Source organism: Homo sapiens, chromosome 20 (assembly GCF_000001405.40).
Source record: "Homo sapiens chromosome 20, GRCh38.p14 Primary Assembly".
NCBI lineage: Eukaryota > Metazoa > Chordata > Mammalia > Primates > Hominidae > Homo > Homo sapiens.
In genome coordinates, this window is record NC_000020.11 from 51,305,774 (window position 1) to 51,332,913 (window position 27,140).

A 27,140-nucleotide genomic window follows, 5' to 3' on the forward strand; every position below is an offset into this window, starting at 1 on the left:
ACAGCAGGGAGGGGAGCTTCCAGGTCATAGGTGAATTCAAAGAGTTCCTGAATTCCTGATTGGTGACTGGTTGAAAGAGTTTATCTAAAGACCTGGAATCAATACAAGGGAGTGTCTGGGTTAAGGAGTTGTGGAGACCAAGGTTCTTATTATTATGCAGATGAAGCCTCCAGGTAGAGAGAATAGATTGTAAATGTGTCTTATCAGGCTTAGAAAGGTGCCAGACTTAGTTAATTCTCTCCTGGATCAGGAAAAAAGGCCTGGAAAGGGAAGAGGATTCTCTACAGAATGTAGATTTTTACCCACAAGTGACAGCTTTGCAAGGCCATTTCAAAATATGTCAAAGAAACATATTTTGGGGTAAAATACTTCAATTTCGTTCAGAGCCTGCTATCTGTCACGTTGGCATCTTATTGGTAGAGTCGGCTTTGTCAGTGTTAAGGTCTCTGTTTTAATGTTCATGCTGGTCAGCCGTGCCTGAATTCCAAAGGGCGGAGGTATAATGAGGCCTGTTTGACCCGCATTCCCATCATGGCCTGAACTCGTGTTTCAGGTTAACTTTAGGATACCCTTGGCCAAGAGGAGGGGACCATTCAGTTAGCTGGGGGCTTAGAATTTTGTTTTCGGTTTATATTTGTCACCTTCCAGTCTCAGGATGGCCACCACAGCTGCTGCATTTGAAGCAGGAGCATGGGGCTGGAGGCACATGTGCTGCACCCACAGAACAGACAAGAAATTACAGCCTTTTCCGGAAACCCCAGAGAGCTCCCGCATCCACGCCACTGGCCGTGCGGACACCCAGCTGTGGGGAGGCCAAGGGATCAAGCACCCAGCAAGGGACATGGCCTTGCCAGTCCTAACATATCTCACAGCGGGGCATGTGGACCTGCTGCAAGGAATTGGGGCGCTAAGGGCAAGACAAAGTGAGGACCAGCCCTTGAGGCTGGCAGAGAAGAAACCTCAGGCCACGGTGCTCAGGCATAAATTAGAGCCCTGTCCCAAGTGCACAGAGAACAGCTGCGAGCAGGGCCCGTCTCACCCTACCCCACCCCACCTCCAGCTGTGGTGGGGAGAGAAGGTTCTGGGTTAGGCTCCAAGGTCTAGGGAGCCCACGTCGTCTGCCCCTGCCTGAGTGGAAGGCTGGGCGCAGGTGGGCCTCGGCGTTAGGAAAGGCAACTGCTCCCTCTTGTGGCCACTCTAGGGCAGCCCGGCGTCCTCCCAGCGATGTGGCAGCCGGTCTCAAGCAGGCAGGGGTGATCCCTCCTCCCCAGCCCTGCGCAGGCCTCGAAGGGGAAGAGAACCAGCGATGCTGGTGAGAGCTAACCTTGATTGGGCACCTCTGGTATACCAGGCGCCCTTCTGTGCACTTCGCAAATATTAATTCAATCCTCTTAACTCGGCCAGGTTGGTCCCATTCATGTGTCCGTTTTAATGATTGGGCCATTTGCCCAATATCATCCGGGCAGAGATTGAAGCTAAGTCCACCTCATAGCAAGGCTGTGCTTCCAGCTCCTGAATTTGGGAGCTGTAGAATGTGTGCTTAAAGACTACGCCTGGGGGACAATTGCATCGATCAGGAATTATATTTCTTTACTGTTTTTAATTTGTGTATTTAAAAAGGCTCCACCAAAATTTCTTTTTTCTTTCTTTCTTTCTTTTTTTTTTTTTTTTTTTTTGAGACAGAGTCTTGCTCTGTTGCCCAGGCTGCACTGCAGTGACACGATCTCGGCTCACTGCAACCTCCGCCTCCCGGGCCCAAGCAATTCTCCTGCCTCGGTCTCCTGAGTAGCTGGGACTACCAGCACTCGCCACCACGCCCAGCTAATTTTTGCATTTTTAGTAGAGACGGGGTTTCACCATGTTGGCCAGGCTGGTCTCGATCTCTTGACCTCGTGATCTGCCTGCCTTGGCCTCCCAAAGTGCTGGGATTACAGGTGTGAGCCACCATGCCCAGCCCCAAAATTTCTTCATGTGGGGACTTAAGGAGTCCGTGGATGTAGTTTAGACATCCCTGAAATTGGAAACAAAATGCTGCATTCATGTCTGTACATTTCCTTGGGTAAAGGCCTAGAGCAGCTGTCAGAGGGCAAAGGTATGGGAACCCCAAGAAGGTGAAGAGCCCCACTGCCCATTTTAATGTCATTATTGTGTTTATTCTCTCATAGACTCTCAGAGAGAGCCGGATGGAATTGATTAGAAAGTGCTTGTCACAAAAGCCTGTCTGAGCCCTAATTGACTTGTGACGAGCTTACATTTTGCATAAATCAGCTTTTGTTTAGCTCTTGGGTTTGACACCTAATGAGAGTCTCTCAGAGGCTGAGGAAAGCCAAAGCCATCCCATATTTTTAAAAAAGTTTAAGGCAAAAAGGGATGTCAGAATTGTGGTAAAATATAAGTGTTTATGTTTAACAAAGTAATGCTTTTTGCATAAGATTCAATGATGATACATCTAAGTTTGTTTATAGATAATGTCAAAAGTCTAAACTGGAGGATTCTGTGAATAAATGGCCCGGGCCAAATTATCCTTCTGCCATAAAAGGTGCCAGGTAGCTGGATGATGTCAACCCAGGTGTTGGCTTCAGAGATGACAAAACACCCCACCCCCTTTCTAATTCCCAGAGAAGCAGACAGAGCCCAGGTCACCCCTTCCCTCGCCACCCCGCCCCAACCCCCACCAGAAGCAGGTGCCTCAGGGTAGTGGGGAAGTACCCAAGGCAGGGGCCAGGTCCAGGGGAGGGAAGAAGGAGCATAAGATAACCTCCCTTGCACCTCCCCAGGTTTAATTCACCTTACTCTGGCCTCAGAGTTTGGTTTGAGGCTAAATCCCCAGGAATCCAACCCACATTCAAAGGGATACACCAAAGCTCATTCCAGGAAACAGAAAAACTGATTTCAAGTTTCCAGCTGTTTGGGCAATCAAGGAAATAATCAGGGCTTTGGATTTGGTTTCTGTTTCTCTCTTTGGCTGTGTGACTTTGGGTTAACCTCTCTGACCTTCAGATTCTTCGCTACCTTTCTAGGTAGCTGTAGCAATCAGTGAGGTTCATTCTGCCTGCACTGAGCGGGGCTGAGTGCTGGGGAGCTGCCTGGTGCTTGGGAAGACAGAACGTTCTGTTAACTCTCATACACACACACAAACCACTCACAAAGGCATGTGGGGACAGAGCAGACTTTACTGAAGGTTTGGATCAGTAACCAAAGACATCTTACAATTGAAAGCTGCATCTCCCTCATCTTCAAAAGCCTCCCGGCTATGTTCACCATCTGGCTCCAGCCCCTTGTCCTATTGTCCAGCTCATCTTTCTTTCCTCCCCTCCTCATCCCCTCTCCTCTCCCATCCTCTCTTTGCAGTGTTCCCTCTTCAAAATTCCTCTTTACTTCTAGCAAAGAGCAGTTCAGCACTCTTTTGGTGGCCTGACTCCCAGGGTTACTGCTAACAGCTGTGCAAATGTAAACCCAGGTTGTACCAATTACATCATGGTCCATAGCAGGGGGCCACAAATTGCAACCCACCGCCAAATATGGCCCACTGCCTGTTTTTGCAAATAAAGTTTTATTGCAACACAGCCACACCCATTCACTCACTCATTGTATATGGCCCCTGACGCTATACAACTCCAGAGCTGAATAGTTGTGACAGAGACCATATGGTCCATAGACTTAAAATATTGACTCTCTGTCCATTTATAATTCAACATTTTAATGAACTGCCTGGAATCTGTGAGAGACTAGTTAGAGAGACTGGTTAAGGGTCACTGTCTGCATTTCTTCCAGTAACATAAAGCCGATCTAGCTCCTGCTAGGACCAGGCTATCAGCCTGGCTCTGGAGACAGATTGATGCCCAGGAACTTCTGCCTGCCCTCAAGAAGCTTGAGATCAAGTCGGTGAGAACACTGTGCCATGTTTAAGTGGCACAGAAAAGGGATGAGGTCAACCCCAGGAGGGCTGACCCCTGCAGGCCTCTGAGCCAGCTGGGTTTGGCCATGGGAGGCAGAATTCGGAGGGCAGGAGAGAGGCTGGGGTGTTTCTCCCCCTCTCTTTCTGCCTCAAGAAGCACCTCTGCAGCTGCCTGGGCCCAGAATTGCCCAGCGTTTCACAAAAAGCTACAAATATGGATTTTGTATGAATTCTTCCTATTTGTAAATGTTAGCATTGGTGATTCAAATATTATTCAAGCTTTTTTAGCTCCATGGGCTTATGGTTTGTGGCTTTTGTACAGTAGTCATTGATACTGTCCCCAGTTTAAAATTCCTATGAGTCTGATACAACCCCTGTGGAGAGCAAAACTGTACATACCCACATCATATGATACACCAGTTCCACCCCTACGTATCTTTACTCCAGACAATCTCCCATTCCAGCATGCTGGAGCCATACTCAAGGAGACTCATAACAGCATCTGTGTGTAACAGAGAAATATTAGGAACCATTAAAGTGTCCATCAATGGGAGAGTGGAGAAATGCCTTGTGACATATTTGCAGCAAAAACAACTACAGCTTCATTGATGTACATGGATGTGGAGTTCTCATTAGGGAGGAGGAGTCAGGCTGGTGGGACAAAGGGAAAGCAAAAAGAGAAAGCAGATAAGCTGTAAGTCTGCCTTTCCAGGACACAATGCAGGACCATGGACCTCTTGCACAATATAACTCACAGTCTTCCTGTGCCCAGCTATTACCAGACTCTTGGCTGATAGAAAAATGCAAGTTAGCTCCCTGCAACCTTGGTGTTATCAGTACAGCACGTAGCCCTCTCCAGCCCAAGAACCAGCGTATAAAATCTCCAGCAAGCTTTGTCCCTTTGCAGTCAGCTCCCCTCTTGCTGACCTGCCCATTGCTTCCTTGCAGCGCTTTCTCGAGTAAATCTGCCTTTCTTTACCTACAGCTATCTTGGTACATTCTTTTCACCACCTATATGACACCAACCCCAGAGAGTCGCAACCCACGACAATGGACAAACCTCAGAACATCATTTTAGAATGAGAAAAGCATAGTATCTTACTTATATAAAGTTTTAAGCATGAAAGCAAAAGTGTCTGTTGCACAGGGATATATGTGCATATGTTCTATAAATGTAAAGGCAAATATGGGAATAACAAGCATTGTATTTAGGATTATGAAACCTCTGGGATGAGAGAGAGAAGAATGGAGTGGGCAGGTTATTCACAGGGACCAATTTTATCTGCCATGCTTTGTTTCCTAAAAAAATCAACCATGGGCACATGAGGGGCTCCCTAGGGTAACAGATGATTTCTTAATCTGGAGGCTGGTTCCAATTTGGGAAAATTCATTGAGCCAATCATTTATGATACGTATAGTTCTCTGCACATGTGTAATTTTTCTTTTTTCTTTTTTTGAGACAGATTCTTGCTCTGTCACCCAGGCTGGAGTGCAGTGGTATGCTCATAGCTCACAGCAGCCTCCAACTCCTGGGCTCAGGTGATCCTCCCTCCTCAGCCTCCTGAGTAGCTGGAACTACAGGCCCACATCACCATGCCTGGCTATTAAAAAAAAAAAACTGTCTGTAGATACAGGCTTTCACTATGTTGCCCAGGCTGGTGTTGAACTTCTGGCCTCAAGCAATCATCTTGCCTCAGTCTCCCAAAGTTTTGGGGTTACAGGCATGAGCCACTGCATGTGGCCTGACTTTTCAATACAAATCTATTGATATAATTTGGATATTTGTCCCTGCTCCAATCTCATGTCAAATTGTAATCCCTAATGCTGGAGGTGGGGCCTGGTGGGAAGTATTTGGGTCATGGAGGTGGATTCCTAATAGCTTGGTGCTGTCTTTGCAATAGTGAGTGTCAATGAAGAGTGTCAAACTCTGCGAAATATCCGAAGAGTTTATCCTGAGCCAAGTATGAAGGACCAGTGGCCCTATGACACAGCCCCAGGAAATCCTGAGAATATGTGCCCGAGGTAGTCAGGATACAAAATGATTTTATACATTTTTGGGAGACATGTCAATCAATGCATGTAAGATACATGTTGGTTTCGTCTGGCAAGGCGGGACAATTGGATAACTGGAGGAGGCGGGGTTCCAGGTCATAGGCGGAGTCGAAGACTTTCTGACTGGCAATTGGCTTAAAGAGTTATTATTTAAAGACCTGGAATCACAGACGGAATGGTTAAGATAATAGGTTGTAGAGACCCAGGTTTTATCATGCAGATGAAGCCTCCCAAAGCAGGCTTCACAGAGAATAGATTGTAAATGTTTATCAGACTTCAAGTCTGTTCTATCTGTCTTAAGATCTCTGTTTTAATGTTAATGTTGGTCAACTGTGCTTGAATTCCAAAGGGAGGGGGAGGAGGGTATAAGGAGGCATGTCTGACTTTCACTTCCCATGATAACCCGAACTCGTCTTTCCAGTTAATTTTAGAATGCTCTTGGCCAAGGGGAGGGTTTATCAGCAGGTTGTGCGGCTTAGAATTTTATTTTTGCTTTACATGCGTGATCTGGTCATTTAAAAGTGTGTGGCACCTCCTCTCCCTCTCTCTCTTCTTATAAATTACCTAGTCTCAGGTATTTCTGTAGAGCAATGCAAGAATGCCCTAATACATGTGTTGTAGGGGGAAAAAAAAAAAAGGGTTCTTGTCACATGACCAGGAAAGATTAGGCCTGCAGACACTTTGAAGGGTGAGGGGAAATGGAATTTATTAGGCGAAAAGGAAAAATAAATCTCAGTAAAGCAGGAGAGAGTCCTGCTAGAAGGCTTCCCACCTCATAGTTTGAATCCCAGTTTACTATCCAGGAACAGGAGAGGCCAGGTTCCTTTCCCTTGCAAACGGCACAAACTTCTTGAGACTCCACCCCATCCTCCCAGTGCTCAGGCAGGTCAGAGATTCTCCAGGACCTGCAGTCCGGGTTTTTCAGCCTTCAGGCCATTTTAGGCTTGAAGGCGGAGTTTTGTGGGGGGACCCTTGGCTGTCTCCTGTCTCTATGACATGTATTAAATAACTTCAGTCATAAAACAAATTTGAACCAAGCTGGGTAGTAGATGTCAGCCTTTCTGGTACACAGGTTGAGCATCCCGAATCTGAAATCTGAAACGCAAAATGCTCCAAAACTCAAAATGGTGTGAGTGTTGATGCTGTACTCGAAGGAAGTGCTACAGTGAACATTTCAAGTGTTCAGATTTGGGATGCTCAGCTGCTCAGTGTAATACAAGTATCCCCAAATCTGAAAAACTCTGAAATCTGAAACACTTCTGGTCCCAATCATGTTGGATAAAGGATACTCACCCTGCATTATCCTCTGCTCTTTATTGTAGGCTTAAAATACTCAATAATGAAATCCAATGAATCTACAAATGCTCGGCAGTGGCCTGGCTGCAAAGTGAGACCACTAAAGGTTTATTGTTCACAGTGACCTGGCCGCATATCTAGACAGTTGCTTTATGATGGGAAATCTATAGTAAAAACAGGCTTCAGAATAAGATAGATCTGCTGTCTTAAGCTCTTCACGTTACCTTTCCGAGCCTCAGTTTCTTCATCTTTCTAATGGGGAGGATAATGCCAGCCTCATGGCTCAATGATGGCTGTTCACAGGCCCTCCAGGAAAGGGAGCTCTAGCCCTTTGCAAGGAGCAGAGGCCTGAGAACAACCGTATGTGATGGTGTTGGAGAAGCCAGTGTGTGGGAAGCTTCTGCTAAGTCAGCAGCATCAGGGATTTGCAGGATGGCCTGACCAGGAAGCATGTTCCTTCCCCCAGCACTTCCTTCCTGCTGATGGAATTGACATGGGCTGGAATAGTGGAACACACACTCACACATACACACACGTATGCAAACAGCATCCTGCTGGTTTTGATGGATGCGATGCATTGATTGAAATACGATGATTCATCAGCATGAGGGTGGAGGTTCGTTCTCTGAGCTTGTCAGGAGGAAAAGTGACAGGGCCTACAAGCAAGTGCTGGAGTACTGGTTCTCAACCAGGGGTAATTTTTTTCCCCCAGCAGTCATTTGGCAAACTCTGGAGATATGTTTGATGGTTAGAATTCAGGAGATGCTACTGGCATCTAGTGGGTAGAGCCCAGGGATGCAGCTGAACAATCTACAATGCACCGGACAGGCCCTCTAGCAAAAAATTATCTGGTCCAAAATGTCAATAGCGCCAAGGTGGAGGCCCTTTAGAGGGGACCTAGGGGAGAGAAACCTCTTGGAGGAGCTGACATCCCATCCAGGACATGCAAACGGCCCATCAGGGATTAGAAGTATCTTCTAAAGGGCAGCTTCTCCGGAGCTCTGTCTGCAGAGAACACCTGCCCAATCCACTCTTATGAGTGGCCTGCCATATGTGGGAGCCTGGGGGCAAGAGATGGCTCTTTCAGCCTGAATTGGTCACCAAGAGCTCAGGAGCTGGTGTTCAAGGGCAATCCAGGACCCTAACAGGGGCATATGTGGGCACGCTCCAGCCTTGGCGTCCTCACCCATTTGATTACTAATTTTGCAAATGTGAGTTTGGCCCGCGCTGGAGCCATAGCTTACCCTTCAGGTTCATTTAACATTATCATGTGTACAGCCCCACAGGCTGTCCCCATTCCCAGGTGGGCTTGGCTGGGTTCTCTGTGCAGGGTCTCACCAGGCTGATGTGAATGTATTGGCCGGGCTGCACTCACATCTGGAAACTCAGGGGAAGAATTCACTTCCAAGTTCATACGGGTTGTTGGCAGAGTCCGGTTCTTGGTGGTTTTAGGACTGAGGTCCCTGTGTCTTTGCTGGTTGGCTGCCGGGGGCCACACTCTGCTCCCAGGGGCCTCGCGTAGCTGCACAGCCGGCAAATATGCACCGAGTCCATCCATGCTTTGGATCTCTCTGGCTTCCTCTTCCGCCATTAGCCAGAGACAGTTTTCTGCTTTTCACGGCTGTGTGATAGATCAGGGTCATCCAGAAAATTTCCCTCCCTGTCTTAAGGTCAGCTGTGCCGCATAGCACGATCGTGGGACTGTTGCATCCGACTCACAGATGCAGCTTCTGGGGTTAAGGGAGAACATCTTTTGGCACCATTTTTAGAATCCTGCCTATTGCAGTGGCTTCAAAGTCCTAAAGAATAGTCAGATCTGTGCCAACAGCCCCATCAACACCATGGCTTACTTCAGCAACAGCTTACTTGCCACTGCAGCAGATGACAGGGGTGCTTTTGGGCCCAGCTGGAGGGATGTCATCTGCCTGGAGCCAGGTTCTAGGACTCTGTTCCCTGCTTTTCTTGGGCTCTGCCTTCGAGGCCATAGTTCTAGAACCACCTTCCTATAACTCTCCAATACAGCAGCCCTCTGGGCATTTGGCCCAGGATTTCTGTGTTGACTCTGTTGCAGCTTCTTGTCCAAAAGGGCTCATGTCCAACAAGTGCAAGCTTCCCCTTGGGTGGTGACACCTTCCCATCTCTGCGACTGGCGTATATGACCTATTGGCATGACCCCGGCTGCCATTTATGCTTCACACATGTGTAGGAAGGGCTTTGGGAGTGGTCTTTCCTGAGTGGAGATGGCTCTGTCTCCGCACATGACTATCAGCATGGAAGTCAGTAGGATGGAGAGTGATGGGTCTGGAGTGGCTACTGTTCCCACAGGAATTAAGCAGTGACCATAGCAATGTCTCAGTAGAGGGTAATGAATAACATCAGTAGATGGTGGCCATGTTTTACCTTCTCAAATCAGTCACAATAGTCTCAATTCAGTGCATTATTTATGGGCACCCACTACTAGCACAGCCTACAGGTTTCATCAGGCATGCCAACTCCTGTTGATGTTGGCAGCTTACCCAGATGCTTTTACCAAGATAAATTGTGAGGCTGCATTTGGCTGATTGGAAAAAATGCTGTGATTGATTAGTGATGTCTGCCATGGCCAGGGAGGGGATAAATAGGCAAGTGAGACAGGTTTGTCCATGAGCCTAGGCCTACTGAGGATGAAGAGGTAAATGAGAAGGCTGCATTTTAGTGGTTCAGAGCATAGAGTTTAAAATCAGAAAGGCTGGGATTCTGCAGCCAGCTCTGCTCTGTATGTGGATGAGTTACCTAACTTTGCTGTGCCTCAGTCTTCTTATCTGTGAAATATGGACACTAATAATTGTGAGCACTAAATGAGAATGTAAATAAAGCACTCATTCTAGACCGTTCATGATTGCATAAGGATCCCTCAGAGGGGCCAGGCATGGTGGCTCACACCTGTAATCCTAGCACTTTGGGAGGCCGAGGCAGGTGGATCACTTGAGGTCAGGAGTTCAAAACCAGCCTGGCCAACATGGTAAAACCCTGTCTTTACTAAAAATACAAAAAAAAAAAAATTAGCCAGGCATGGTGGCAGGCACCTGTAATCCTAGCTACTCAGAGGCTGAGGCAGGAGAATGGTTTGAACCTGGGAGGCAGAGGTTCCAGTGAGCCAAGATCACGCCACTGCACCCCAGCCTGGGTGACAGAGCGAGACTCCATCTCAATAAATAAATACATAAATAAGGATCTCTCAGAGGTTGACAGTCTTCTGAGGGAGACAGATATGCAGATAAACACATGTAATAAGCATTAGAATTGCAGGATTGGGTATGGAGAGTGAGGCACAAGTAGGAAGTGCTCACTCTCCTGAGGTGGACATTGTCTGCAAGGGACTATATCAGCTGGGTATGGAAGGATGGGGAGGGGCTTGCTAGGTAGAAAAGAAAGGAAGGGACTTTCCAAGACAGGGAGGTGGGCAGGCAAAGGTCACAGGGCTAGGAAGTCAATGACAAGTTCAGACAAGCATTGGGCATGGCAGAGGAAGGAGGGAGCTGAGGGGACAGCAGGAAGCAAATCTGTGCATAAGATGGGCCATGCTGTTGAGGACTGCATGAGCTGCACTAAGGGATTTGGCCCTAACTGGGTGTGTGTGTGTTAGAACACGGTTTGGCTGCCATAAGGGCGAATCCTCAAAGCAGAAGGGTGTGGACAAGGCAGGAAAGTTCTTTTCTCTTATGGACATTCCCCCACTGGTGTAGCAGCTCTGCTGTGTGAGGTCTTAAGGGCTCTGCCTCCTTCTTCCTTGTTCTGCATGTTAGTTATCCATCACTGCTTCACAAATTACTGCACTTGGTGGGTTAGCGCAGCAGCCACATTTATCATCTCACAATTTCTGTGGGTTGGGAATCCAGTGTGATGAGGCTGGGTCCTCAGCTTCACGGTCTCCCATAGGCTGCAGTTGAGGTGTTGGCCTTGGTTGCCATCTTGTCTCAAGGCTTGATTGGGGAGAGCTCTGCTTCCAGGCTCTCCCAGGCAGAATGCAGTTTCTTGTAGGGCATTGACTGGGGGCTGTTGGCAGCCCTTAGTTCCTTTCAACCTGGGCCTTTCCAGCATGGTGGCTTACTTCGTCAAAGCATGCAAGCCAAGAAGGCGACAGAGAGAAAGAGAGAGAGGGAGAGAGACCGACCTAGCAAGAGAATGCAACCACGACAGAAGCCAGTCTCTTGAATAATCTTGTGAGTGACGTTCCATTCCATTTGCCACATTCTACTCATTAGAAGCAGGTCCCTAGGTCCAGCCACACTCCGGGGCTGGGAGTTACATACCATGTGAATACAAGGAGGGGGAAATCACTGAGGACAGTTTCCAAAACTGCCTTCCACACTCTACCACCCCTTGAGTAATGTCCTTGTCCACCTGAGGCAAAATGTCTCAGTCACATGCACCTTCCAGCCCATGGGGATGGGGAGAAATCAGAAAGGGGGTACCCCTCGCTTTTAGCCCAAGACACAGAAATGGCAAGCAGCACTTCTGTTCACCTTGCATCGGCCTGAGCTTGGTCAGTGTCTCCTCTTGCCCGGGAGCTGGGCAGTTACAGTCTTTAGCTGAGCCACCAGGGGCCTGGCTCAGAGTCAGGGGTTGTATTTCCAGGAGAGGAGAGGAGAGGAGAGGAGAGAATGGACACCGGAGAAAAGCGGCCATCTCTGCAACTCCAGGGCCTGCCAATGGGTGTTGGGGGCAGGACATAATTTCTTTCTTGTATAAAGTAGAAAAATTCCTTCCTTTCCTCCACAAATAGTCATTGAGCATCTTCTGCGGGTCACACATGTGCCAGACACTATGCAGATTGGCAAAAGGAAGGGAAGGGAACGGAGGGGAAAAGAAACGAAGAAACTCAGGCCTGCCCAGGTGTGTGTGCAGAGCTTGCAGCCTAGCTGGGGACAGATAGCAAATAACCCCACACCTAAACGAACATGTAATTACAACGCGTCAAGTGTTAGGAAGGAAGCAGATTCGCAGACGGCGGCTTTGTTTTTAATTCTCTTGCTAGGCCCCTCTGTCTTTCTTTCTCCCTTCCTGTCTCTCTCTCCACCTGTAACGGGGTCTGTCCTAGTCAGGGAATGAAAGGCGGCTTTGCTGGTAGATGTCATTTCCGAGGACGGCCTCAGGGGTGGCGTCCCTCCCACGCACTCTTCCCGTGTGATGTACGTGCGCTTCCTGCTGAGAAGTGGGTTCTGTGTCCCTTATCCTAGAATAACGCCCAGTCTTATTGACTCACTTCTAATGCCTAGTACGTGGCAGAAGTGAGGCTGTGTGACTACCAAGGCAGGTGCCATAGCTTCCGCCTGCTTTGTTGCCTCTCTGGGGACAATCACCCTTGGATCCCAGCCACCGTGCTGTGAGGAAACCCACAACAGCGCCCCCTGGAGGAGAACAGCGGCCCCAGCCAAGAGCCAGCATCAACAGCCAGGCCCCTCTGAATGCACGCACCTTCAGTCAGCTCCAGCCCAGGCCTCACGTCCTTCAGCTGAGGCCCGCGACATCCCGGAGCAGAGACAAGCTATGCCCACTGAATCCTGCCCAAAGTCCCGGCCCACTGGGTCGCTAAGCAGAAGAAACCCTTGTTTCACGCTGCTGGTATTTGGGGTAATGTGTTACACAGCCACGGTCACAAGCACAGCCTCTATGAGGGAGTGGCACTTCAGCTGCGCCTTCAAAAATGACTTGGCATCAGCCAGGCAAAGAGCATGGGAGGAGAGAACGTTCCAGGCAGAGAAAACCGCACAAACAAAGGCCCTGGGGCAGGAACAAACTCAGTGCATTTAAGGATGAGCAGGCAGGCCCCAGTGACTGAAGCTCAGGACAGGGGTGGGTGCTGGGGGCTGAGGGATGAGTTGCAATTTCCCATCTGCCTAAGGTATAAGGAAGAAGGAAAGGGGTATGATCTGAACTGCTTTTTTTTTTTTTTTTTGAGACAGAGTCTTGCTCTGTCGCCAGGCTGGAGTGCAGTGGCGCGATCTTGGCTCACTGCAACCTCCGACTCCCAGGTTCAAGCGACTGAATTGCTTTTTTTTTTTCTGCAGGCTGCAGAGTGGAGGAATGACGGCAGAGGCGGGTGGGGGAGGGCACACACGACAGCTGAATGATGCTGCTGAGAGCATGTGGCCAGTGGCAGGTCAGGGCCATGGACAAAGAAGGAAGTGACCTGGTTTGAAACATGGAATAGGGGACACATTCCTTAGAGTGAAGGTGGTGTTTGCAAGTAAATTCTCCTGAAATGCTGTCATCTCACCTGGGAGTGTTGAGGCCTGATGCTGTTATTCTCTGTATTTGTTAGGGGTCTTTTGGATACAGGAAAATGAACTCAAGGTTGGTGACTGTAAAAAGGGTTGCTTGAGGAGTTTTTGTTGTTGTTGTTGTTGTTTGTTTGTTTGTTTTGGCTGACATATGTGGAAAGTCCGAGTCTGTGGTTTGCACCCGCTTCCTCAAGCCCCAGTGCTTGAGGTTTGGCTTTGCCTACAGCCCCACAGACCACTCTCAGGCGGGTCTTTCTGCAGACCTGGGCTGGATGTATTGGCACTTCCAGGGTCAGATCCAGGGGAACGGAAGGCATGGCTTTCTGCTGACAGCTCTGGAAAGCCCCAAGGATCTTGTTGGCTCTGATATACTCATGTCCCTTCCCCTCCTGTGGTCAGGGCAACGTGATCCTGTGATTGGCCAACTCTGGGTCACTTGCTCTTCCTGGGAGCCGGGGGGGAGCCCACACCACAGGGCCACATGATCTGAGAGAGAGAAAGAGGGTGGCCTCAGTGGGAAATGGGGGTACTGTAACCAGAAAAATAGATAACGAATGTAGGCCAGACAAGAATGACAAATGCTCATGGCAGTCAGTAACACTTTAGTTAGAAACAGCATATTGGCAAGCACAGGCAAGGGAGGAAGTAACTTGAGGAGCCAATGGGACGAAGACCTAGGGTTTTGAATGGGGAAAAGATACAATCTCCTCACTTTGCCCTGATACTTTGTAGTTGCTTATATTAGTCCATTTTCACACTGCTATAAAGACATACCCGAGACTGGGTAACTTATGAAGGAAAGAGGTTTAATTGACTCACAGTTCTGCATGGCTGGAGAGGCCACAGGAAACTTAGAATCATGGTGGAAGACAAAGGAGAAGCAAGTACTTTCTTCACAAGGCAGCAAGAGAGAGAAGCAAGTGCAGAGGAAACTGCTACTTATATATAAACCGTCAGATCTTGTGAGAAATCCTTCACTATCATGAGAACAGCATGGGGGAACCCACCTCCATGATCCAGTCACCTCCCACCAGGTCCCTCCCTGACACATGGAGATTACAACTGGAGATGAGATTTGGGTGGGGACAAAGAGCCAAACCATGTCATCACCAAAGGGTTTCTCAGGTTTTGCCTTAATTCATACTCGCAGCAGTCACTGGCTGGGGTGAGCATCATCCCTGTCTACATGACAGATGAGGAAACAGGGGCTCAGAGAGGGGAGCCTGTTGCTGCAGATCCCGCCACTGAGAAACTTGAACTCAGGCCCGAGACTTGAGGTCAAAGCCATCTCTGCAGACACCATCTCTCAGGCCCAGAGTCTCCGGTGCCTGGATGTTGGGAGAATGACAAGGTGCCTGAGCACCCGGGCATTAGATGAGGCAGAAGCAGTTTGAAGACGCTTTGAGATCAGCTGATGTACAATACTCATAACTGCTATACTTTACTGAACCCACTTACACATATCACATCATTCAGTCCTCCCAGAAACCCAGGTGAAAGATAGACTGTTGTTATCTCCATTTTCCAGATGGAAATAAAATGAAGGCCGATTAAGAAACTGGCTCAGCATTACCCAAATAAGATGGAGTGGAAGCAGGATTCGAACTCAGGTCTCTGACTCTATGACCAGCTGCCGACCTACTGTACAATAATGCCTGCAGTTCTAAACCACCTTGAGTCACTGTCACCACACTTTTGGGCCAATTAGGACATTGAAATCCTTGCTAATTCATTTTGTATCTTAGGAAATAGACTTTAAGGTTTCAGGGTCTTATCTCTGTGTCTTAGCTTTTGTGCCTATGTTGAAAGCTGTATTACTTTATAAAGGTTTCAAAGGACTGGCTGTGCTGTGTGTGTGTATGTAGAACAGAGGTGAAATACTGTTTGCTCAGAGGAGTCTGGAGATTTTTCTGGCGTTTCCTTGACTACGTACTCTAGGATGCTAGAGAATGTTCTGCTAGATCATTTTAGCAGTTATATTTTACTCATTTATGAATCTTTAACTTTAAACTCCCTCCACTCAGAAATCCATAAAATTGGAAATTAACCTCCATTTGTGGCGAGTCTGTCAACAGCTAATCCCTCCCCACAGCCACCACATCCTTTTCACTGGGTGCCAGAAGTAGAGGCACCCAGGCCATGGTGGGCAGACAGAGGGGAACCTCCAAAAGATACCCGGGCTCTGACATCCTCAGGGATTGCCCTCAGATCTGGGACACAAGCTGAAGTGATGTCACCCAATGCCACAGCATGGAACTCCCTCCGTGGTGTCTGTGGTCAGACTGGGGCCCAGAAGTGTCTCCCTGTCCTGGTGTTCGATGTCCTGATGAAGTCAGATTTCTTGGGCTAGGGATTTGGTTGCCAATGATTGCCTTGTGAACTGGCAGATGTAAAATAAACATTTCTAGAGCTAGAAGCACAGGGAGCCTAAATGCTAGTGGTGGCCCCAGGAGGGGCAGGAGCAAGACCTGCATGGCAGCGACCTGGGACAACTTAGGTTTTGCATTTGCCAAGGCCTAATGCTACACACACACACACACACACGGATACACACACATGCACACACACACACACACACACACGGATACACACACATGCACACACACACATCATACATGCATACATACACACAGACACACATGTATAGCATGCACATGGAGACACACACAGAGAGATACATGGATACACACATGGACACACGTGCATCATACATGCACACACAGAGATACACGGATACATGTACACGGACACACATGCACGTACGCGGGCACACACGGAGACACACATGGACAGGGAGGAAAGGGAAAGATGAACAGCACGTGACTGGATCAGCCTGGGTCCCCAGCACTGTCTGCAGTTTGGACTTGAGCCCCGTGGGGCGCCATGTGCAGTGCAGGTTTCCACACTCACGCAGAAAGCAGATATGGCCATTGCAGGGTCCCCTGCCAGGGCTGGCAATGAGTCACTTTTTCCACCTCTGCGACCCCTCCCCAAGTCAGCTCTCTCAAGCTGCTATTGTTCTGAGTGAAGGCAGCATCTTCCCACTGCAGAGAAGCAGCTCCTGCGCCCACTTTAAGGGGCCCAGATCCTTCCTCTGGCCAGGTGTGAGGAGGGTATTAGGACCCCGCCATCCCCCAAAAAGCAATCATGAAAACCCAGATTCCCATGAGGCCTTATGTCATGTGAGCCCTGCCTACCTTCCCCCGCTCCCTTCCTTGCCGCTTCAGCCTCCAAATCCCTCCTGGAGCTTCTCAGATATCCCAGGCTTCTTCCACCATCCAACCCCTACACGTTTGCTCCTGCTGTGTCCTCTGCCGGGAATGCTCTTCTCAAGTCTCTGCCCATCTGTCACCTCCTCAGGGAAGCCCTCCAGGATCACTCTGTCCAAAATATTAATACTATCCCCATTATTTTATTCTATCCTTCCTACCCTGTTTCTCCCCCCATAGCATTTGTAACTACCTGGCCTGATGCTGTATGTTTGGTTATTTACCTATTACTTGTCTCCCACACTAAAACATCAGTTCTGTGAGGCTAGGGACTTTTGTCTGCCTCATTCAGTATTGTATCCTCATGCCTAGAACAGGGCCTGGCACTGCAGATGCTCAGTTAAGAGAGGGCAAATGTGTGGATGAGTGTTGAACACACAACACACAATTACGGGAGAAATCAACGTCGTCATTCACTCTGGGCCGGATGGTGGGATCCAGATTAGAGCAGAAGGCTGGGTGCAGACAAAGGCCTGCTCACTTTGGGTTGGAGAATTCATTCAGGGAAGACTTCTTGAAGAGCCTGAATCAATTGTGTTGCCTTCCAAGGGAGGTAACATTTTGTGAAACTTGTCCAAAGCAGGGGAGAAGTGTGAAGAGGGAGAGCCCTAGAATCTAGCTGCCTGGGTTGACGGCCCGCCTTGCTCCTTCCTTACTGGCTGTGTGAGCCTGGGGAAGTCACACATCCTCTCTGAGTCTGTTTTAACATCTGAAAATTAGCTAATAATGGTAACCACTTACAGAAGACTGGGGGTGGATCTAATTAGATAATACCGCGAAAACATTGAGCCCGTGACTGGCACACACTATGCCTGCAATACATTTTAGCTTTTAAAAACTTTTGTTGTGTGAGGTACCCACGCATAGGTAACTTGGTGTACACCTGGGGCAAGTCACTTCACCTCTCTGGCCCCGGGTTGCTTCATGTGTAAAATGAGGAACTCAAATTCAGTTCTTCCCAGCTTTCACATTCTATCACTGCCTGGGTCCTTACGTTGTGGGTTGGAAGTCAGCTGGAGTTTTTCTTTAATCTAGTCTTTCTCCCTTATACCTTCTCGATTTAGCTCCTGGGAAACCTTGTTAGCTTTCGTTGAAAACAAGAAAGACAAATCCAGTTGGGTGTTAGGAAGGCAAGGCTCAGAGTCAATGTGTGTGTGGTGTGACTTTAGGATAGAGGAATAGGGACCCCATGGACTTGGGCCTTGTGTCTGGCGGAAGGAGAGGTTGGAAGGTGGATGCCGGTTGGCAGCGCAGCAGAGAACTCAGGCATGACGTGCCCAGGTGCGAGCTGCCTTGGGCAGGTCTAAAGCCTTGGGAGCAGCAATCTCTTAGCAGCCCTGCAGATACCCCTTTCTCTGCTGAAATGCTCAGTTTTTCTTGGTCTCAAGTGACAGAAACCAACCTCAGACTGACTCCAGCGATTCAGGGGCCATCCTGACTCATGAACCTAAACAGACCTTGATGAACCTTTGTGCCTGGCTGAATCTTGGGGCTTAAAGAACGTGTTCAGGGATCGCGCTTTCTCTTTCTGCTTTTCTTTTCATCACCAGTAGTTTCAGGCTTGCATCCTACAGCTCAGTGAGGCCCTGGAAAAAGAGCATCCCTTTTCTCAAACCTCCTAGGGTTGATTTGGCCCAGCTTGGCTTGGGTGCGGGCAGGGAACCCTTGGCGCAGGCAGAGCTGTGGAGCGTGGTGATGCGTCAGGCCCGTGTTACAGGCTCTGACCTGGAGCTTCAGAGCGCTTGTGCAGGTGAGTGTGTGCAAGTGCACACGTGACTATAAGAGGGTGTGTGAGTGTGTGTGTGTGAGTGTGCACACACAGAAAAACAATGGGACAATCCTTCCCACCATCACTATTTGAGCTGAGAACTGGGGAGCAATGGTCCTCTAGGAGAGCCGAGGGGCCATTCAACATAGAGGGGAGATGGGGAATCCTAGGTGGGTGAATAGTGATATGGGGCCCCTGTTAAAAGCATAGACTCTGGGGCCATTGCCTGGGTCAGATTGTCCCTTCACTAGCTTATGACCTGGGTCAGGGTTCTTACTCTCTAATTGCCTCCATTTCCCCATCTGGAAATTGGGGATATTAGTGCTTCCATCAAAACAAGAGTCTGTGAGGATTAAGTGAGCTATGATATGAGAAGGAGCTTCCAGCTGACTCCTAGATGCCCTTTCTGAGCAGCAGAGGTAGTCGTGGAAATGCCAGCTCCTCTTGGTCAATTACATTGATAAATGTCATTCCCCAGATTTCCCTTTCAGAGCAGCTCGGTAGGTTGTGAATCCAGGCCAGGCAGAATAGAAGATGGGGCTCACTGATTTGCAGAGAGTGGTCCAGGAAGTGGGAGTAGGTGGAGTAGGTGGGGAGAGGTGGACAGGCACCCTCCATAGCCTCAGAGAGCTGGATGCATGCTCCACCCCTCACATCAAAAGCCGGCCAGTCTCTGGACCTGGGAGGAAGGGTCAGCTATTTGTTACTCTCCTTGACCTTTGTCAGGTAATCCCAAATGTTCACCTGTTTAGGTTAGACATTTTATCTTTCTGAGAAGTACTTCTATTTATCTACTACTCTCTGCTGCAAAATGTAGGCATTTTAAAGGTCAATACATTTGTAAAGCCTGACAGTTTCCCGTGTGTTTAGTGCTGAAATGGTCTGTGGACAGGTATATTAGTTACTGTGGCATAACAAATCATCCACAAACCTCATAGCTTAGAATAACAAACAGTTAAAACTATCTCACAGTATCTGTGGGGCAGGAATCCAGGCACAGCTTAGCTGGGTCCTCTCCTTCAGTGTCTCTTCCAAGGCTGCGATCAAGGTCTTAACCAGGGCTAGGATCTCATCTGAAGGCTCAACTGGTGTCGGCTCCATTTCCAAGTTCACACATGTGGTTGTTGGGAGGATTCTGTCATGTGTGGGCTCTTCGATTCAGGGCCTCAGCTCCTCACTGGCTGTTGGATGGAGAACTCCGTCAGTTCATTGCCACACCGGCTCCCCGCTCGCCACAGGGCAGATTTCAGCATGAGCTGACTATTGACCATGTGAGCCTTCCAACCTGGCAGGCTGCTTCCTCACAGCTGGCGAGGGAGAGGGTCTGCTAGCAAGATGGAAGCCCAACTATTCTGTAATCTAATCACAGATGTGGCATTCCCCCAATATTGAGGTATGCTGTTGGTTTGATGGAAATTACCCAAGGAGAAGGGATTACCTGAGGGCATGAATATAAGAAAGTGAAGATCACAGAGACCATCTCAGAAGCTGCCTGAACCACCAGGGAAGAAGCTATGAGGTGTGAACAAAGACCCAGCGACATTGGATCCAGGTTATCTTCTTTAGGTATCTGCACCTGTCCACGCCTCTCCTTGCAATAAATCTTCTTTGTTTAGGAATGAAATGGTCTTTCTTAGTTAATGCGAACAGGGGACATTTCTTGAGGGTGGTTGTAAAAGAACTCCTGTAACCTGACCAAAGCACGTCTCTCACCAGAAAGACCTAGCTGCTGGGGATGGGGTTGGGGGAGCTGCATCCGTTTGCATGTGGAGCCAGGTTCTCTAGGGAAGGAAGGAACTGAGATATCCATCATTGCTCCCCATGACCTGAAGTTGGGAAAAGCCATCAGAGTGGACTCTGGGGCTCTCACCTAACATCTACTGGAGAAAGACAGGAAACCCACGTGGCTGGGGACGGATCCAGAACAAGAAATCATCAAGAGGGTGGGAGCACCTGGCCAAAGCTTGAGCGCCTTAATGAGGTTCACAGGGGACTGCTTCTAACAGGGCTACTGGCTGAGCTGGAATCTTGTCAGGCCCCAGCAGTCCCAGCGTTGTGTTGGGGAGCAGTGGATCTTGAGCTCAGAGGACAGCCTGTGCTTAACAGTGACCCCTGGTGGCCATGAGACCTGATGGCTTTAGTGTAGGTTTCTGTTGTTTGGAAATAGGACTGATCCTCTTTGGACCATGTAAATCCCAGGATTCTTGGATAATGGGAGTGGTGAGAAAGTGAGGTGCTCAAGAGGAAGTATTAGACTTCCTGCTGCTGAAGGTGTAAGGGGCTCAATTTATTCAAGAAAATGTGAAAGCAATAGGGAGGATGCTTCAGTGGTCCCAAAGGTTATGGAATAAACCAGAAGTCCATAAACTTTTACTAAAGGGCTGCATAATAAATATGTGAGGCTTTGTGGGCCATACATCCCTGTCTCAGCTAATGAACTTGGCTGTTGTAGCATGAAAGCAGTATAGACAATAAGTAAGAGAGTGACCATGGTTGTGTTCCAATACAGCTTTATTTACCAAAACAGCCAGTTGTGGGTCATAGTTTTCTGACCTCCTGGGGTAAACAGTTGAGGCTAGTCTTTCCACCTTTGTAAAAGAGAAGATTTTGTGAATGTTTCTGGTTCTGTGAAATGTTCTTTCTTCCTTTGGATAAATGGAAGTTCACAGACCTCCATTTGTTCATTGCTGTTTCTTTATTTTATTTTATTTTATTATTTTATTTTGAGACAAGATCTCACTCTGTCACCCAGGCTGGTGTGCAGAGGCTTGATCATGGCTCACTGCAACCTTGACCTCCCAGGCTCCAGCGATCCTCCCACCTCAGCCTCCCAAATAGGTGAGACTACAGGCGCACACCACCATGCCTGGCTGATTTTTAAAAGTTTTGTAGAGATAGGGTCTTGCTGTGTTGCCCAGGCTGGTCATGAACTCCCAGGCTCAAGTGATCCTCCCACCTCGGCACTCCCAAAGTGCTGAGATTAGGGGCCTGAGCCACCGTGCCTGACCGCATTTCTTCCTTTGTATAAATGGAGAGGTATTTATGAATTATTGTATTCTCCTTTAGGCCAATGGAAACTCAGTCATGGATTTGCTTCATTGTTTTTTCTTCTTTTGTGAGTTACACTCAGTCATTCTAATGCATATATGTATACACACACGTACAAGCTTAGGAATGTACTATTTGTGGTTGTAAAAATGAAGCTGCTCATCTTCTGCTCTGAGAGTCTGGAAAAGTTTATAAATATCAAATAGTATCTGCTGGCATTGTCCAGCAAGACACATCACTTCCTATCGTGTGGGCGCGTCCCTCCAGTCTAGCCGTGTGCCTACGACACAGAGCTCTAGTTGGCATCAGGATTTTCCACTAGACAGTCCGCGTTCCCCAGCGGCCAGCTCGGAGGCGTTCCCGCCCTCAAAGCCACAGCCAAGTCCAGGGCCTCAGGGACAGGTCTGGGGAAAATCTATCAAGTGATTTGGGAGAACCAAGGCGTCTGGGTCGAAGGCAGGGGGATTCCCTCCCACCCTGGCCTCTCTGCTCCTTTCCAGACAGACCTGCCAGGCATTGCCAAGGTGCTTTTTAAAATCTTCAAACAGAGTTTTAACCATGATGTGTGGCAGACATAGGTATCCCTCACATACTCATAGGTATTTGCTTTAAATATTTGAAAACAATGGAGGAATGAAGACAGGCTTGAGTTATTATATATTAAAGTACACGAAATGAGATTCAGGCTTAAATTGTTGTATCAGGGTTTGACCACAGCAGAATCAACTGGAGGGATTTATCGTAGAGATTTACCTTATGCAACTTGGGGAGCTGGTTCACCAGTCTACATGGGGCTGCTTCTTTGAATTTGACGCTGGATCCTCAAGTCAGCAGGGCAGCCACCAAGAAGGAAGGATGGATGGGAAGTGGGAGGGAGTGACGACAAACTGGAGCCACCAGGACAAGCTGGAACCCGGGATGACAGACTGGAAACCCCCCGTCCATCTCTTGCCACCTCCAAGCAGCCATCTGTGATTACTCACTCAGGTGATCTGCAGGAAAAGGTGGCATTCTTCATCCCGGAACTAAACAGGCCTCTGCCAGGATTCAGAGACACTAAGGAGGATCCACAGGGACTGGAAGCTGCAGGCTTAGCTGCTGCCCACACCAACCAGGCGAGCCCACAGAAGGGTGTCCACGTGGGTGCACTGCAGCCGCGTGCTCCATGCCCACCTTCCAAGCATGGCAGCAGTCTACCTGCCACTTCGCTTCCCCCTCCCGGGTCTCACTCAAAATGTCTTTTGGTCTATGCTAACCAGAAACAATGCAGGGAAGGGAATTCTGAGAATTCCAACTTAGCTGAGTTGACATGATCCAAATCCACCACAATTATTACATTAAAAGGCAAATGGCAGTAAGTGAATTGACTAGGGCTTTTATTAGAAATATTACTCCCACTGTCAGTTTAAATGTAGATATTTAAAACGTCCCTAAGCAAAAAGTTACCACATAGTAGGAAAGGCTCCGAGGTCACAAAACCTAGATCCAAATTACTAGCTGGGTGGCCTAGGACAAGTTGCTTAACCTCTCTGAGATTGCATAGCTTCACTTGTAAAAAGAGGATTAAGAGCACCTACTGCATACAGCTGATACATATAAGATTTAGCACAGTGGCCGCACACAGTAGGTGCTCAATAAACGAAACAGCAATTCATCAAGGCACATAACAACAGCACAACACATTGTGTGGCACTATTTTCAGAATGTATCAATCCATTTGAGTCTTTCACTAACTTGTGAACTCCATGAAGTCAAGAGTTATGAGTAAATGAGTGATGTGAATTAATGAATTTACTATATTCCTGGGTACTAGGCAGAGTGGGTGTGATCACGCCTGCTTAAGTATAACAAACTAAACTTTATTGATTTAAGTGCCAAGCCAGGGTTAGGTGCCTGATCTTCTCATGCCCACACCAACCAGGTGAGCCCGCAGAAGGGTGTCCACGTGGGTGCACTGCAGCCGCGTGCTCTGTGCCCACCTTCAAATCCATTGTCCTTTCCAACACAAACTGCCACATCTCTCCCGCATACCAGAACATTCTGGGACTACTATGAAGAAGTGGCTTTGTGTACAGAAGCTGCTCCCTCTTCTTTCATTTCCCCTGATGTTGTAGCAAATGCTTGGAGTTCTTCATAGAACCACTGTTGAAGAGGTTGTGCTCTGTCTGTCTTCAGAGAGACCTGCATGTGCTGCTTTCACTGGTTAAGTTTCACCTTGTCTGGTTCATTCATTCAACAAACTAGATTAAGAATCTATTAGGTACTCAGCATTGTTCTAGAAGCTGAGGATATAGCAGTGAACAAAACAGACATAGCCCTATTCCCATGAAACTTATATTCTGGTTGGCTGTGGGAGTGAGCTTCCAAGAGAGCCCCAGGGATCCCTGCCTCCTGGTACTCACAACCATACTGAATAGGGATGACTTGTGTCACCCAATATGGATAGCTGGATGGCTGGATGGGTGGGTCGGTGGGTGGATGGATATATAGACAGATGAATAGATAGATGATAGACAGATGATAAGTAGATAGATAAATGATAGGTAGATGATGGATGGATAGATAGATAGATAAATAAATGACAGATGGGTAGACAGATGATAGACAGATGGTAGATAGATAATAGACAGATGATAAATAGATGATAGACAGATGATAGGTAGATAGATGATAGGTAGATAATAGGTAGATGGTGGATAGATGTATAGACAGATGGATAAATGGATGGATCGATGGATGGATTGATTAGATAGATGATAAATAGATAGATAGACAGATAGTAGATAATAGACAGATAATAAATAAATGACAGATGATAGGTCAGTTGGTAGATAGATGATAGGTAGATAGTAGATAGATGGTGGATAGATGTATAGACGGATGGATAGATAGATTGATTGATTAGATAGATGATAGATAGATGATGGCATGGCAGTGACTTCTGCAGCAAGATCATATACACAACGTGCTTTCCACCTTGCTCTCTCTCGAGGACATGTATTGAATGCCAGGTACTATACCAATATGTTACATTGTTTTGTCACATTTAATCTTCATGACAGTCTTATGGGGTGCCTTTCTTATTCCCATTTTCCAAGTGGTAAAACTGAGTCACTCACTCTGGGGGAGGCCTGCTGCCATGCTGTGAAGCCTCAAGCAATCTTATGGCAAAGTTCACGTAGTGAGGAACTGAGGCCTCGCACCAGCAGCCCTATGAGGCAGTCGTCTTGCAACCAGCCCCTCCAGGCCCAGTTGAGCCCTCAGATGACTCAATCCCAGCTGATTCCCAAACTCCTGACTCCCAGAAACTGTAAGGTAATCAATATTTGTTGTTCTAAGTTACTATGTTTTTAGAGCAACTCATTATGCAGCAAAAGAAAACTAATACCTGGGGAGTGATGGGCCAAAAATGAGCAAAATATACAGCCTGCCAGGTGGTGGATAAGAGCTCTGGAGGAAAACCAAACAGGGAAGGGGACTGGTGAGGGAGGGGATTGCAACTTTAAGTAAGGTGGTCAGGGAAGATCTCACTGAGAAGGTGACAGGCAATTAAAGACTGGAAGGAGATGAGTGAACCATGTGGAAGGGTCTTCCAGGCAGAGGGATGAGCAGATCAGAGGCTGGGAGGCAGGAGCTTGAGTGTGTCAAGGGATCAGCAAAGAGGCTGGTGTGGTCAGGACAGGTGAAGGACACAGATGGCAAAAGATGAGGCCAGAGAGGTAAGGGGCTGGACCCTGAGATACAGAAACCCTGTGATGAGATGCTGGTCACAGTAGCTCATGGTCCCGGACACATCTTGGTGCCAGGCACGGCCCCTCCCAGCACTGCCATCTTCAGTCCTCACCAAACAGGGTAGACACTGTGGCCCTCCTCACTTGCCGGATGAGGAAACTGAGGCTCACAGAGCTTATATTTCTTACCTAAGTCCACATGATCAGGATGTGGCAGAGCCAGGCTTCAAACCCGGGTCTGAAGTCCACCAGCTGGAATTCGGTGGTGCGCAGACTCTGTCTATTTCCCCCAGGTATCGTTATAGTCCGGGGTGCTCGCTGTCTGAATCAGGATCTGTGGAATCCATGTAGGAGGTTGGTGCACCTCTTTCAGGCCCTGGATGGGGCACAGACCACAAATGGCCCACCAGGGTGGAATTCAGGGGGTGTCCGAGATTCTGAGGAGTCACGAAGGAGCCTGGGGTTGCCCAGCCCCAGGGGAAAGCAGGGCCAGCAAGGCCTACTTGGCAGCCGAGCTCACCAGCTTGGTTCCCAGCTTCCCACAGATATGCATGAATGCATGAATCACCCGCGCGCAGCCTGCCCAGGACGCGCCGTTCTGCGGGGACCACAGCTCCCACTGCGAGCAGGGCCAGCCAGGCAGAGCCTTGGAAAAATGCTGCGGCGGGGTACACCCTGGCACTCGGCTGTGCTCTGTGCCGCCCCAAATCCGCCCGTGGCCTCCTGCCAACCGAGTGGGATTCGGTACATTGGTTTAAAAGAAAAAGTCAATAGAGCACTTTTGAGACGTCCGAGGCCCAGATGTTAGATGTTACTGCTTTTTCTCTACAGGTTATGAAAGCAATACTAGGTGATTCTTATTGAATATGTTCTGAGTGTCAGGTGCTGGACCAATACAGTCACATGTAATCTTCCTGATAATCTTATAGGGGTGCCATTATTATTTCCATTTTCCAAGTGGAAAAACTGAGGCTTTGTGAGAATAATTTGGTTATTTTATTTTATTTTATTTTATTTTATTTTATTTTATTTTATTTTATAAGTTCCAAGATACATGTGCGGGATGTACATACAGGTTTGTTACATAGGTAAACATGTGCCATGGTGGTTTGCTGCACCCATCAACCCATCACCTAGATACTAAGCCCAGCATGTATTAGCTCTTTTCCCTAATGCTCTCCCACCCCCACTATCCCCCATCAGGCCCCAGTGAGTGTTGTTCCCCTCCCTGTATCCATATGTTCTCATTGTTCAGCTCCCACTTACAAGTGAGAATATGAGGTATTTGGTTTTCTGTTCCTGTGTTAGTTTGCTGAAGATAATGGCTTCCAGCTCCACACATGTCCCTGCAAAGGACATGATCTCATTCTCTTTTATGGCTGCATAGTATTCCATGGTGTATATGTACCAGATTTTCTTTATCCAGTCTGTCATTGATGTAGCCCCTCTTTTTTTTTTTTTTTTTTGAGATGGAGTTTCACTCTTGTTGCCCAGGCTGGAGTGCAATGGCACAATGTCAGCTCTCCTCAACCTCCGCCTCCCAAGTTCAAGTGATTCTCCTGCCTCAGCCCCCCAAGTAGCTGGGATTACAGGCACCTGCCACCACACCTGGCTAATTTTGTATTTTAGTAGAGACAGGATTTCACCATGTTGGCCAGGCTGGTCTTGAACTCCCGGCTTCAGATGATCCACCCACCTCGGCCTCCCAAGGTGCTGGGATTACAGGTGTGAGCCACCGTGCCTGGCCCCTGCCCCTCCTTTTTAAAGCTGTATTTAGGTTTCTTTTGTATTCAGTGAAAGTTAAACTTATATAGC

The 27,140-nt window shown here is 48.2% G+C and overlaps 5 annotated features.

Annotated features, from left to right (window-relative positions):
* Positions 467-1,427: an enhancer, noted in NCBI's record as "NANOG-H3K27ac-H3K4me1 hESC enhancer chr20:49922777-49923737 (GRCh37/hg19 assembly coordinates)". NCBI's record gives its function as "activates a minimal SCP1, AML or CMV promoter by ChIP-STARR-seq in primed H9 embryonic stem cells {active_cell/tissue: H9 hESC(primed)}" and the evidence as "EXISTENCE:reporter gene assay evidence [ECO:0000049][PMID:30033119]".
* Positions 5,151-6,140: an enhancer, noted in NCBI's record as "OCT4-NANOG-H3K27ac hESC enhancer chr20:49927461-49928450 (GRCh37/hg19 assembly coordinates)". NCBI's record gives its function as "activates a minimal SCP1, AML or CMV promoter by ChIP-STARR-seq in naive and primed H9 embryonic stem cells {active_cell/tissue: H9 hESC(naive and primed)}" and the evidence as "EXISTENCE:reporter gene assay evidence [ECO:0000049][PMID:30033119]".
* Positions 6,141-7,129: an enhancer, noted in NCBI's record as "OCT4-NANOG-H3K27ac hESC enhancer chr20:49928451-49929439 (GRCh37/hg19 assembly coordinates)". NCBI's record gives its function as "activates a minimal SCP1, AML or CMV promoter by ChIP-STARR-seq in naive and primed H9 embryonic stem cells {active_cell/tissue: H9 hESC(naive and primed)}" and the evidence as "EXISTENCE:reporter gene assay evidence [ECO:0000049][PMID:30033119]".
* Positions 15,865-16,366: an enhancer, noted in NCBI's record as "H3K4me1 hESC enhancer chr20:49938175-49938676 (GRCh37/hg19 assembly coordinates)". NCBI's record gives its function as "activates a minimal SCP1, AML or CMV promoter by ChIP-STARR-seq in naive H9 embryonic stem cells {active_cell/tissue: H9 hESC(naive)}" and the evidence as "EXISTENCE:reporter gene assay evidence [ECO:0000049][PMID:30033119]".
* Positions 22,305-23,183: an enhancer, noted in NCBI's record as "H3K4me1 hESC enhancer chr20:49944615-49945493 (GRCh37/hg19 assembly coordinates)". NCBI's record gives its function as "activates a minimal SCP1, AML or CMV promoter by ChIP-STARR-seq in naive H9 embryonic stem cells {active_cell/tissue: H9 hESC(naive)}" and the evidence as "EXISTENCE:reporter gene assay evidence [ECO:0000049][PMID:30033119]".